This window comes from Homo sapiens, chromosome 17, assembly GCF_000001405.40.
Source record: "Homo sapiens chromosome 17, GRCh38.p14 Primary Assembly".
Taxonomy (NCBI): domain Eukaryota; kingdom Metazoa; phylum Chordata; class Mammalia; order Primates; family Hominidae; genus Homo; species Homo sapiens.
Window position 1 is genome coordinate 3,105,021 of NC_000017.11, and position 13,284 is coordinate 3,118,304.

General features: G+C 44.0%; 1 pseudogene; it reads left to right on the forward strand.

Annotated features, from left to right (window-relative positions):
• Positions 11,307 to 12,454, forward strand: OR1E3 (olfactory receptor family 1 subfamily E member 3 (gene/pseudogene); annotated as a pseudogene).

Consider the following 13,284-nt stretch of genomic DNA (forward strand, 5'->3'; position numbering starts at 1 on the left):
CAGATGTCTGTGACCCAAAGTACTAAGCAAAAGCAAGAAAGAAATCCTATTTAGAGGAACATAATGTCACCTTAGAGCTGAAATAACAGAATTATTTCTGTTAATAATTTTTCAAGCACAATATCCAACATAAACCCAAAGATAAAAAGACACAAGGAAGATTCCAATAGCAAGAACCAACACAGGGGAGGCATATAGGGACTCTAGATAATATAGTTATTAGACATAGATGGAAAAATAATGATGCTACATTATTTTAGGAAATAAAATGAAGCCTGAAAATTTTATCAGGAATGTTTACAAACAGGCCAGTCATGAGTAACCAGCACTCAGATGAAAAACACATTACTGACCCTCCAGAAATGACCAAATATTCCTTTCTAGTCACTGTTCCTGCACAGGTACTCACTATCCTAACTGCTAATATCATTAAGCTAGCTTTATCTATTTTCTTACTTTATTTAAATGGAAGTATACAGTTTGTACTCTTTTGTGTTGGCGTTTTTCACTCATTGTATATGTCAGATTCATCCACACAGTTGTATGTGGTTGTAGGTTGTTCATGCTCATTGCTGTATGGTGTTCTATTGTGTGAAGAGACCACTAAACACCCATTGTGGGCATTAGTAGTTTCCGGTTTTTGTCCTGAGTCGTGTAGCTACGCATATCTCTTAGGCATATATACTTAAGAGTGGAATTTATAAATCACATGGCAGGCCTATGTATAGTTTTTGTAGCCAGTGCTAAACACTTTTCCAAAGTACTAGACTTGTATCAATTTTCCCTACTGCCAGCAGTGTATGAGAGTTCTAGTTGCTCAATACCTTAACATGATTTGGTATTTTTCATCCTTTTCATTTTAGCTGTTGTGGTGAGTATAGCGGTATCTCGCCATGGTTGAATTTTTTTTTTTTTAAAAAAAGATACATAATAGAGGTACATGTGATAATTTAATATCTTCATAAAATTTGTCAAGATCAAATTGGTGTAATTGGGATATATATCACTTTAAATAGTTGTCTTTTTTTATGCTAGAAACATCTGAATTGTTCCCCTTTTACTATTTTGAAATATACAATAGATGATTGTAAACTATATTCAGTCTTACTGCTTCTATCAAACTGTACTTTTGTACCTATTAATCAACATTTCTTCCTCCCCCTCCCCTCACTCTTCCTGGCCTCTGGTGACCACCAGTCTGCTCGTTTATCATCATGGGATCCACTTTTTAAACTTTCACATGTTGAGTGACAACATATAATATTTGTGTTTCTGTGCTTGACTTATTTCACCGAACATAATGACTTCTAGTTTCATCTATGTTGCTGCAAAGGACAGGATTTCATTTTTTTTTTGGCTGGATAATATTCCACTGCGTATATATGCCATATTTTCTTTCTTCATTCATCCTTTGATGGGCATTTGGGTTGATTCCATATTTTGGCCATTGTGAATAGTGATGCAGTAAACGTGGAAGTGTAGATATCTCCTCGATACATTGATTTCTTTTCTTTTGAATATATGTCCAAGAGTAGAATTGCTGATTTCCATTTACATTTCTCTGATGACTAATGAAGTTAAGCACTTTTCATAGAGTTATTATCCAAAAGTATATTGTCTTTGTAAATCACCTACTCAAGTGTTCTTCTCATTTTTTTCTATTGGGTTATCTGGTTTTTTTTAAATGTTGATTTGTAATTCTTCATATTTTCTGGCTATGAGCCTTTGTCAGATGTTTGTAACAAGACTATCTTACCCACCTTTGTGGGTTGGCTTTTGTTCAATTAATGGTGCCGTTAGAGAAATAGAAGAGTTTTAATGTTTTAATTTATCAATTGTTAAATAATTAGTGCTGTCTATATCTTAAGAAATCTTTGCTAAATTTTTGTCATGTTCTCTATGATTTCATCAGGAAGATTTGCTTTTACCTTTCACATTTAGATCTGTGATCAATGTGGAATTGATATTTATATTTGGTGAGGTAGAGATCAACATACATTTTTCTTCCTGAAGTGTGGATATTCAACGGATCCAGTGCCATTTGGAGAAAAGCCGTCCTTTCCCTGCTCCATCACAGTGGAAATCTTTATCATCAGTCTGGTGACTATATATATGAATCTGTTTCTGGAATCTTAATCTCTTCCATTTGTCAGTTTGCCTATCCTTATATCAATAGTCTACATATTAATTATTATATCTTCTAATAGGATTGCTATATGGTTTGCTTGTTCTTCTTCTTCAGTATTTCCTTTTTTTCTTTTTTTGACACAGCCCAGGCTGGAGTGTAGTGAATGGCGTGATCTTAACTCACTGCAACCTCCACCTCCCGGGTTCAAGCAATTTTCCTGCATAAGCCTCCTGGGTAGCTGGAATTATAGGCATGTGCCAGCATGCCCAGCTAATTTTTGTATTTTTAGTAGAGACGGGGTTTCACTATGTTGGCCAGGCTGGTCTTGAACTCCTGGCCTCAAGTGATCCACCTGCCTCAGCCTCCCAAAGTGCTAGGATTACAGGCATGAGCCACTGCACCTGGCTGGAATTCGTGTCCTTTTAAAAGAGACTCCAGAGAGCTCCCTTGTCCCCTTCTGACATGTAAAGACGCAGCAAAAAGATGGCCATCTGTGAATCAGGAAGTGGGTACTCACCAGACACGGAATCTTCTGGCAAATGGATCTTGAACTTCCCAGCCTCCAGACAGAACTGTGAGAAATAAATTTCTGTTATGTATGTCACTCACTCTATACTATTTTGTTATAGCAGCCTGAATGGATTAAGATATGCTGTTTGAAGGTATTGAGACCCTGTCCTGTTCCTCAACAGCTTTTAGGGTTTTCGTTTATATTTGGTTTCAGTAGTTTTCTCCAATATGCCTATGTTTGGTTTTCTCTCGATTTATACTGCTTGAGATTTGCTGAGCTCCTTCAACCTGTAGTGTTATGTCTTTTATCTGTTTGAAAAATTCTTGGTTAATTATCTTCTCAAATATATGACCCTGTTCCATTCTCTTTCTCCTGTCCTTCTGGGACTCCAGTGATACATAATTAGGCCTTCTGTGCATGTTCCATTTATCTCTTATGGCTGTATCTGGGGTTTCTTCCTTTAATTTTTTTTGCACTTCAGTTTAGGTATTTTATATTGACTTGTCTTCTAGTTTATTGATTCTGTATCTTGCTATGTCCAACTTGTTAAATTCATGCACTGAGTTCTTAATTTCAGATACTGTAGTGTTCACATCCAGAATGTCCATTGTGCTCTTTATGCTATTTGCTAGTAAAATTATTCATCTTTTTATCTATTTCACATACTAATTGTTATCTTAAATTCCTTGTCTGCCACCTCTAAGATCAGAGTCATCTTTCAATCTTTATTTTTTGGTCTTAATTATTAGGCATGTAATTTTGCCTCTTGCCTGTGTGTAGTAATTTTTTTAGTATGTGCTGGGAGTCATGGATACTAGGGTTACAGTGGCTTCAAGTGTTGTTACCTCTACCAGAGATGGTTCTTCTTTTCCTCTTTAATGCAGATACGGTGAGTGGGTTCATCACCTGAATTCAATCAGGAATTGGTTTGGGCTTAGGATTAGGTTGTAACTTTAGGAAGGTTAAGTTTACTTCTGTTCCTAGGTTGTTTCCTTTTTGGGATTTTCATGCATCTTGATGTCCTTAGCCCTGAAAAGTAGTGAGAAATTTTCTTCAGAGGTTTTTAGCTTAGTTCTTTGGACTTTGCCTCCATGCAAATTCAATGTTTGGCAAATATCTTGAGGGAGAGACCAGAGGCGTGTTCGAAAAAGGCCTCTTCTAACAGTGTGTTTGCTTCCTCAGTCCTGAAAGTCGGCAGGAGATTTTTTTCCGTCTTTTAGTAGTGTCTGCCTAGATTTCCAGCATTCTTATCAGAGTCAGCAAATGTCTCATGCGGAGAATAGTACAGGGGTTTGAGGCCCCTCATGCTTCAAAACTGTTATTCTGGTCTTGCGTGAGTGCTACACGCTTTAATGCTTTCATTTCCCCGGCACAGATCCTCTACCTAAGTCTGTGCCCAGATTCAGCAACTACTTTTCCCAAGGGAAAAAATAGCTAGTTGGAGTAACCTCATCTTAGAATGGTCACCCTCTCTCTGAAACTTTAGGTTATGTAGTTTTTGTTGCTTCTGCAACTCTTTGATACCTTTAAATTATGATTTTACCTTTTAAAATTATGATTTTACCTTTTAAAATTCTAATTGTTGCAGGAGGATCATTTTAGCTTGCTAGAACCCACTATATCCTGTGTGCAAGCAGAGGTCTGCCTCTTTTATTTTTGAAGAGACTTGTGTCTCTGGCATTGTGGCTTATGCCTATAATGCCAGCACTATGGGTGGCTGAGGTGGGAGGATCACTTGAGGTCAGGTGTTTGAGACCAGCCTGGCCAACATGGTGAAACCCCGTCTGTACTAAAAATACAAAAATGAGCTGGGCGTGGTGACATGTGCCTGTAGTCTCAGCTACTTGAGAGGCTGAGGCACGAGAGTTGCTTGAATCTGGGAGGCAGAAGTTGAAGTCAGCAGAGATCACACCTTTGCACTACAGCCTGGGTGACCAAGTGAGGCTCTGTCTCAAAAAAATGTCAGGAAATCTTAGTTTGGTTACAACATTTGGTGGACAAAAGAGGGTATAAATCACACTACTTGTACAAGAAGGTATTCTTTGGCAACTATTATCCCTTGATGGCTCCCCCTTATTTACTTCACCAGATGAATTAAAGTTTTATTTTATTCTCATGTTGAAATGAAGATTAGTGAAGAATATTTATAGGTGTCCCTATTTCTCCAGTATGTGTAATTGAGGCCCTGTTTCCACTCCCTTAATGCAGGTTACCATCATCTCTCACTTGAGTTACTGAAATAACCTTGTAAATGATTAATCTGCCTTTCTGATTGATTAATGCTAGTCTAGTCTCCTCACTTCAATCAGATTTACATTTCTACCAATTAAATCTAAGCATCTAATTGCCCTACCTGAAACCAGTCAGAGACTTTCCCCTTGGGATGAAGGTGGTGCTGCTGACTGCATCTCACAAGGCCTTGAGGAGCAGGACATTGCCTGGTTCCCTTTCTCCCCTTCAGTTCTCTGCTTCACACGATACGCGTCCGGACACAGAACGTCCTTTAGTTTCTTGAGTATGCCATGTTGTCTTGACCTCTTGAGTCTTTGCAAATGTGGTTACTTTTCTCAGAACTCCACTTTCTCCCCATTTATCTTTTTACGCCCTCTTAACCCGTAAAGACCCAAGATAAAGTTGTCATATGTGGCTGGGAGAAATTAGGAAGTAATTGTGTAGAGGTAGCAATTGTATTGTGTTTAGAGACTGGGATTAGATTTCAACATTCAGTGATGAGGGATGTGTGGACATAACTCAAAGTGGGTTTTCCTAAATGTAGCAGAGATAAATGATGGGGCCAGATGATTGAATTAGTTGATCAATAAAGAACGTTTCTTTCTTCATTTTTAGGATAACATTTTTGAAGTAATAAGTGGACAATACAGAGCAATTCATTATATTTTGGAAAGCAAATATTTTAGGAATTAAAATAATGAAATATTCAGGCTGGGTGCAGTGGCTTACACCTGTAATCCCAGCACTTTGGGAGGCCGAGGCGGAGGGATCACCTGAGGTCAGGAGTTCAAGACCACCCTGGCCAACATGGTGAAACCCTGTCTCTACTACAAATACAAAAATTAGCAGTGGTGGGCACCTGTAATCCCAGCTACCTGGGAGGCTGAGGCAGGAGAATCACTTGAACCCAGGAGGCGGAGGTTGAAGTGGGTTGAGATCATGCTGCTGCACTCCAGCCTGGGCAACAGAGCCAGACTTCATCTCAAAAACTAAAATAAAATAAAGAAATATTCAGACAAGGAAGAGATCCTGTGGACTGCTGTGGTCTGAGCAGCATTCCTGGTGGGACTTGGGGATGATCTTGCTTCCTCTTCTGCCTGTTCTCCTACCCCAGAATGGGCAGCTATAAAGTACTGCCTGCTCTAGACCTCCTAGGAGATTTGTCCCAGGGGATCATGGGCAATTACTTTGTTTGTTGTTAATAAGTTTCACCAGGGCCTGGGGTCCAATGGGACCTACTGTCTCTAGAACCTGGAAAACATAGACTGGGAGATATGTGAAGGGACGGGGTGGGCTTAGATGATGACGACAGAGGCTGTATCTCCATGTGTCTAACGTGCATAAAAGAGCGAAGGCTCCCAGGTCAAGGCCTCGGGATTCCTTTCAGACATTCCTTGTAAGTTAGGCTGGAAGCTGTGTCCCTCTGGGTCCTTTCGACCTTCGGGTCCTGATTACTAGGGTTCTATGGTGTGACTATGTGGGACTGTTCTTTAGGTACTGTAAAATCCAAATTACTGTTTAACATTCTAGAAATATCTTGATTGCTGTTTACCAGATTCAATTTCTTTATTTAAAATGGTATTCATAAATACAGTTGCCCCATGAACAACACAGGTTTTGAACTGCATAGGTCCACTTAGATTTTCTTCTGCCTCTGCCACCCTGAGTAGCAAGACTAACCCCACCCTGAGTGGCAAGACCAACTCCTTGTCCTCAGCCTCCTCAACATGAAGACAACAGGGATGAGGAGCTTTATGATGATCCATTTCTACTTAATGATTAGTAAATATGTTTTCTCTTCCTTATGATTTTCTTAGTAACATCTTTTCTCTAGCTTACTTTATTGTAAGAATATAACATACTAAATGTGTGTTAATTGACTGTTTATGTTATCTGTAAGGATTCTGGTCAACGGTAGGCTAGTAATAGTTAAGTTTTGGGGCAGTCAAAATGTATTTGTGTATTTTTTTTTTTTTTATTGATCATTCTTGGGTGTTTCTCGCAGAGGGGGATTTGGCAGGGTCATAGGACAATAGTGGAGGGAAGGAGGGAAGGTCAGCAGATAAACAAGTGAACAAAGATCTCTGGTTTTCCTAGGCAGAGTGTTTGTGTCCCTGGGTACTTGAGATTAGGGAGTGGTGATGACTCTTAACGAGCATGCTGCCTTCAAGCATCTGTTTAACAAAGCACATCTTGCACCGCCCTTAATCCATTTAACCCTGAGTGGACACAGCACATGTTTCAGAGAGCACAGGGTTGGGGGTAAGGTCATAGATCAACAGGATCCCAAGGCAGAAGAATTTTTCTTAGTATAGAACAAAATGAAAAGTCTCCCATGTCTACTTCTTTCCACACAGACACAGCAACCATCCGATTTCTCAATCTTTTCCCCACCTTTCCCCCTTTTCTATTCCACAAAACCGCCATTGTCATCATGGCCCGTTCTCAATGAGCTGTTGGGTACACCTCCCAGACGGGGTGGTGGCCGGGCAGAGGGGCTCCTCACTTCCCAGTAGGGGCGGCCGGGCAGAGGCGCCCCTCACCTCCCGGACGGGGCAGCTGGCAGGGCGGGCTGCCCCCCCACCTCCCTCCCGGACGGGGCAGCTGGCCTGGCGGGAGGCTGACCCCCCCCCCACCTCCCTCCTGGACGGGGCGGCTGGCCGGGCAGAGGGGCTCCTCACTTCCCAGTAGGGGCGGCCAGGCAGAGACGCTCCTCACATCCCAGACGGGGCGGCGGGGCAGAGGCGCTCCCCACATCCCAGACGATGGGCGGCCGGGCAGAGACGCTCCTCACTTCCTAGATGGGATGGCGGCCTGGCGGAGACGCTCCTCACTTTCCAGACTGGGCAGCCAGGCAGAGGGGCTCCTCACATCCCAGACGACGGGCGACCAGGCAGAGACGTTCCTCACTTCCTAGACGGGGTGGCGGCCGGGTAGAGGCGCTCCTCACATCCCAGACGGGGCGGCGGGGCAGAGGGGCTCCTCACATCCTAGACGATGGGCGGCCAGGCAGAGACTCTCCTCACTTCCTAGATGTGATGGGCGGCCGGGAAGAGGCGCTCCTCATTTCCTAGATGGGATGGCGGCCGGGCGGAGACGCTCCTCACTTTCCAGACTGGGCAGCCAGGCAGAGGTGCTCCCCACATCCCAGACGATGGGCGGCCGGGAAGAGGCGCTCCTCACTTCCTAGATGGGACGGCGGCCGGGCAGAGACGCTCCTCACTTTCCAGACTGGGCAGCCAGGCAGAGGGGCTCCTCACATCCCAGACGATGGGCGGCCAGGCAGAGACGCTCCTCACTTCCCAGACAGGGTGGCGGCCGGGCAGAGGCTGCACTCTGGGCACTTTGGGAGGCCAAGGCAGGCGGCTGGGAGGTGGAGGTTGTAGCGAGCCGAGATCACGCCACTGCACTCCAGCCTGGGCGCCATTGAGCACTGAGTGAACCAGACTCCGTCTGCAATCTCCGCACCTCGGGAGGCCGAGGCCGGCGGATCACTCGCAGTTAGGAGCTGGAGACCAGCCCGACCAACACAGCGAAACCCGTCTCCACCAAAAAAATACGAAAACCAGTCAGGCGTGGCGGCGCGCGCCTGCAATCCCAGGCACTCCGCAGGCTGAGGCAGGAGAATCAGGCAGGGAGGTTGCAGTGAGCCGAGATGGCAGCAGTACAGTCCAGCTTCGGCTCGGCATGAGAGGGAGACCGTGGAAAGGGGAGACGAGAGGGAGAGGAGGGAGAGGAGGGAGAGGAGGGAGACGTATTTGTGTATTTTTGACTGCACAGGGGTTGGTGCCTTTAATCCCTGTGTTGTTCAAGGGTCAACTGTATTACATAGTGGAGTCACGTAAAGAAGGAATTTTCATAAAAGATTTCAACTTTATCACTGCTTTGTGCCATCAGCAGGGTTAAGTCAGTACTCCTATTTTACAGCTGAAGAAATTAAGATGCAGAGAAATGAAAAGAGCAGGCAAAGCCCACATGCCTCATCTCCTCAGTGGCAGCATTTGTGATATCTGACTGATTTGGGCTCTGTAATCACACATTTTAAAAAGAGATGGTACCAACTTAGTTCCCAGGATGGAAATTCCCAGAGAATCAAAGATAGATTCTTCTCATCAGTAAAACACAGCACCACATCTTTCATTTTTTCTGTACACATTAATCTGGCCGGGTTAAACCCCACGATCCTGTTAAATACCCTGTAGTGAGAGGTCCCTTCTGTATCTTCAGGGTTTGTAGAAGTTCTGAAAACTCCCCAGGACTGCACTGTGAGAGAGGCATCTGGAGGAGACCAGGAGCCAGGTCGGAGAGATTGGAAATGTCCTTAATCCTTTCCCCGTGATTTTTTCTTTTTTTTTTGATACAGAGTCTCACTGTTGTTGCCCAGGCTGGAGTGCAATGGCACGATCTCGGCTCACTGCAACCTCCACCTCCCAGGTATAAGTGATTCTCCTGCCTCAGCCTCCTGAGTAGCTGGGATTACAGGCACCCTCCACCACGCCTGGCTAATTTTTGTATTTTTAGTAGAGATGGGCTTTCATCATATTGGTCAGGCTGGTCTCGAACTCCTGACCTCAGGTGATCCACCGACCTTGGCCTCCCAAATTGCTGGGATTACAAGTGTGAGTCACCGCACCTGGCCTTCCCATCATCTTTAAACTTTCACATCAGTCTCATTTCTGCCCACATCAATATCTTGATATTGGGTAGGCTGAATCACAAGAAAAGAAAATCGTAGCCTTGTCTGGGTAGATTGGCATTAAGCCATGTTACAGGGTAGCTGAGGATGGGGTAATATTTTGGAATGAAGCTGGCAAGCCTACAGTGCAGTTACCTAGAAATCAAAACAAAGGATTTATAAGAAGGAATTCTTGATTTGGAAAGGCCCAGTGGCAGTAGATGTTCTAACCTCCAGTAGTTTTGGTTTCTGTTGAAATAATTCAGTAGTCTCTTAGGTAGCACAAATATATATATACATATTTTGTGGCACACATTGCTGTAGATGTTGGGGTTCATCAGTGAACAAGATAGATATTTTCTCAATTATTAAAGTCTAGCAAAGAGCAAGTCCTCCCAGATTTAATGATCTAAAGGATGAGTTTCCAGGAGAAGAGATGGAATGGGGTTGAGACAGCAAGTTCAAGGCAGTGGTACTGTGATATGTCATGGTGGGTGAGAGCAGATGCTTTTGAGATACTAGGAGAAATCCAGTGTTGTTCCTGGAGTAGAGAGAGAGAGGTAAGCAGGAGAGAATTCACCTGGTAAAACAGGGTCTTATGGTTCATATTAGCTATTTTGGACATTATCTTAACAGAAATGAGAAACTCTTTAATTAGATAGTGACATGAGCAGGTTGAGTTATGAAAAGGATGATTCAGGATAAAGTCAATAGATTTATTTATTTTTATTTTTTGTTTTTATTTTTTTGAGATGGAGTCTCGCTCTGTCACCCAGGCTGGAGTGCAGTGGCAAGATCTCGGCTCACAGCAACCTCTGCCTCCCAGGTTCAAGTGATTCTCCTGCCTCAGCCTCCTGAGTAGCTGGGATTACAGGTGCCCGCCACCACGCCCGGCTAAGTTTTTTGTATTTTTATTAGAGACGGGGTTTCACCATATTGGTCAGGCTGGTCTCGAACTCCTGACCTCAGGCGATCCACTCGCCTCAGCCTCCCAAAGTGCTGGGATTGCAGGCATGAGCCACCACGCCCGGCCTCAAGTCAATAGATTTAAAGAGAGCAAAAATATATGTTTGGAGACCATGTCTGCCTCAGTGGTGCAGGTGAGAAAAGTAGCTGACCTGAAAGGTGGCTGTGGGGTGCAAACTATGAGCACAAGGAGGGATGTTTAGAAGGTGGAATTGATAAGATGTGGTAATTGAATGAGGGAACTGAAGGGTAGGCAAGAGTCAAGGATGACTGTCAGGTTTCTGGCTTGGGGACCATGTAGATGGCATAGGCAGCAAGAGAATACTGGAGTGGAACACACGTGGGTCAGGGAAGACAGCAGACTTAGTATCAGAAAGATGAAGCTTGTGGTGGCCATGAAACATGCAAATAAGATGGTCATCAGGGAGCTGAACATCCAGGTCTGTAGCTCAGAGGAATGGTGTGGGTTGAAGAAGTACATTTGGGACTCACTGGCATATTTGGGAAATGTGTAAGGACAGTACTCTGAGAAGCACCAATATTCAAAGATAATGGAACAGGAGCAGTTGTCTGAGAAGAGTGTGAAGTATTGCAAGGTAGGGAGGGAGAGCGTCACCTGGCCAAGTGAGGGGAGGGTATCATGGAGTAGGAAGTGATCATTAGTGTTAAATGTGATAGGTCATTGGATTTAGAGATGGGGATTTAGAGTCATCAGTGGCTTCGACTGGGAAATTTCAATAGATGATGGGGTTCAGAGGCCAGTCTGCTACCTGTGCCTACATTCTCATTCATGGTCTCTTTGCAAATAGGCCACACATTATAGAGATATGTTTATTGGTTACCTGTAGGTGTTAAGGTGCATTATATTCTTCTTAAGGATAATAGAGTCACAGAATGATGAAGAAGAACCAAACCATGATCTCAGAGTTCCTGCTCCTGGGCCTTCCATCCAACCTGAGCAGCAGAATCTGTTCTATGCCTTGTTCTTGGCCGTGTATCTTACCACCCTCCTGGGGAACCTCCTCGTCATTGTCCTCATTCGACTGGACTCCCACCTCCACATGCCTATGTATTTGTGTCTCAGCAACTTGTCCTTCTCTGACCTCTGCTTTTCCTCGGTCACAATGCCCAAATTGCTGCAGAACATGCAGAGCCAAAACCCATCCATCCCCTTTGCGGACTGCCTGGCTCAGATGTACTTTCATCTGTTTTATGGAGTTCTGGAGAGCTTCCTCCTTGTGGTCATGGCTTATCACTGCTATGTGGCTATTTGCTTTCCTCTGCACTACACCACTATCATGAGCCCCAAGTGTTGCCTTGGTCTGCTGACACTCTCCTGGCTGTTGACCACTGCCCATGCCACGTTGCACACCTTGCTTATGGCCAGGCTGTCCTTTTGTGCTGAGAATGTGATTCCTCACTTTTTCTGTGATACATCTACCTTGTTGAAGCTGGCCTGCTCCAACACGCAAGTCAATGGGTGGGTGATGTTTTTCATGGGCGGGCTCATCCTTGTCATCCCATTCCTACTCCTCATCATGTCCTGTGCAAGAATCGTCTCCACCATCCTCAGGGTCCCTTCCACTGGGGGCATCCAGAAGGCTTTCTCCACCTGTGGCCCCCACCTCTCTGTGGTGTCTCTCTTCTATGGGACAATTATTGGTCTCTACTTGTGCCCATTGACGAATCATAACACTGTGAAGGACACTGTCATGGCTGTGATGTACACTGGGGTGACCCACATGCTGAACCCCTTCATCTACAGCCTGAGGAACAGAGACATGAGGGGGAACCCTGGGCAGAGTCTTCAGCACAAAGAAAATTTTTTTGTCTTTAAAATAGTAATAGTTGGCATTTTACCGTTATTGAATTTAGTAGGTGTAGTAAAGTTGATAATGAAATATCACTCTAAATCAGTGGCTTAAAGATTTTTTAAGACCACTAAACCTTTAGTTTAAACAAAACTCTATGCTAAAGGCTAACAGGAAAAATATGACAACAGACCTGTGTTTGGAGTGAAGTTGGGGGCAGGAAGCCAGGTGCTAAGTATGCTTCTTCCTTCCTTCCCAGGTGGAAATGAAGCTTGAAAATAAACGTTAAATATCTTTGTGCCAACACCTATTATCCATATTAGTTGGGAATTAACTTTTTTTTTCTTTTTTTGAGACAGAGTCTCGCTCTGTCCCCCAGGCTGGAGTACAGTGGCATGATCTCGGCCCACTGCAACCTCCACTTCAGGGTTCAAACAATTTTCCCACCTCAGCCGCCTAAGGAGCTGGAGTACAGGTGCATGCCATCACACCTGGCTTATTTTTGTATTTTTGTAGAGACGGGGTTTCACATGTTGGCCAGGCTGGTCTCAAACCCCTGACCTCAAGGGATCCACCCACCTTGGCCTCCCAAAGTGCTAGGATTACAGGTGTGAGCCACCACGCCAGGCCTTGGGAGTTAACTTCTTAAATATCACTGTAATCTTTGTGTTCATCCTGCTCAAGAATTTTCAATGACATTCTCAAATGGAGAAAAGAAAAACCCCAACATTTTCTGTCTTAGGGAGCACATGTACTCCTAGAGTTCTGTGCTTCCAATACCTTACTCTTTGCTGTTGAATAAAAGCATTTATTTCCTTCTCTGCATACATATCCTCACATCATTCTATCCTTTAATTTTTATGTAATTTTCCAGACCTCGCAGAACAACCTGTCTGTAAAAGAGCTAATAAATAGTAAACCCTTATTGGGTGGTTTTCTCTGTGTAAGGCACTTTCACAAC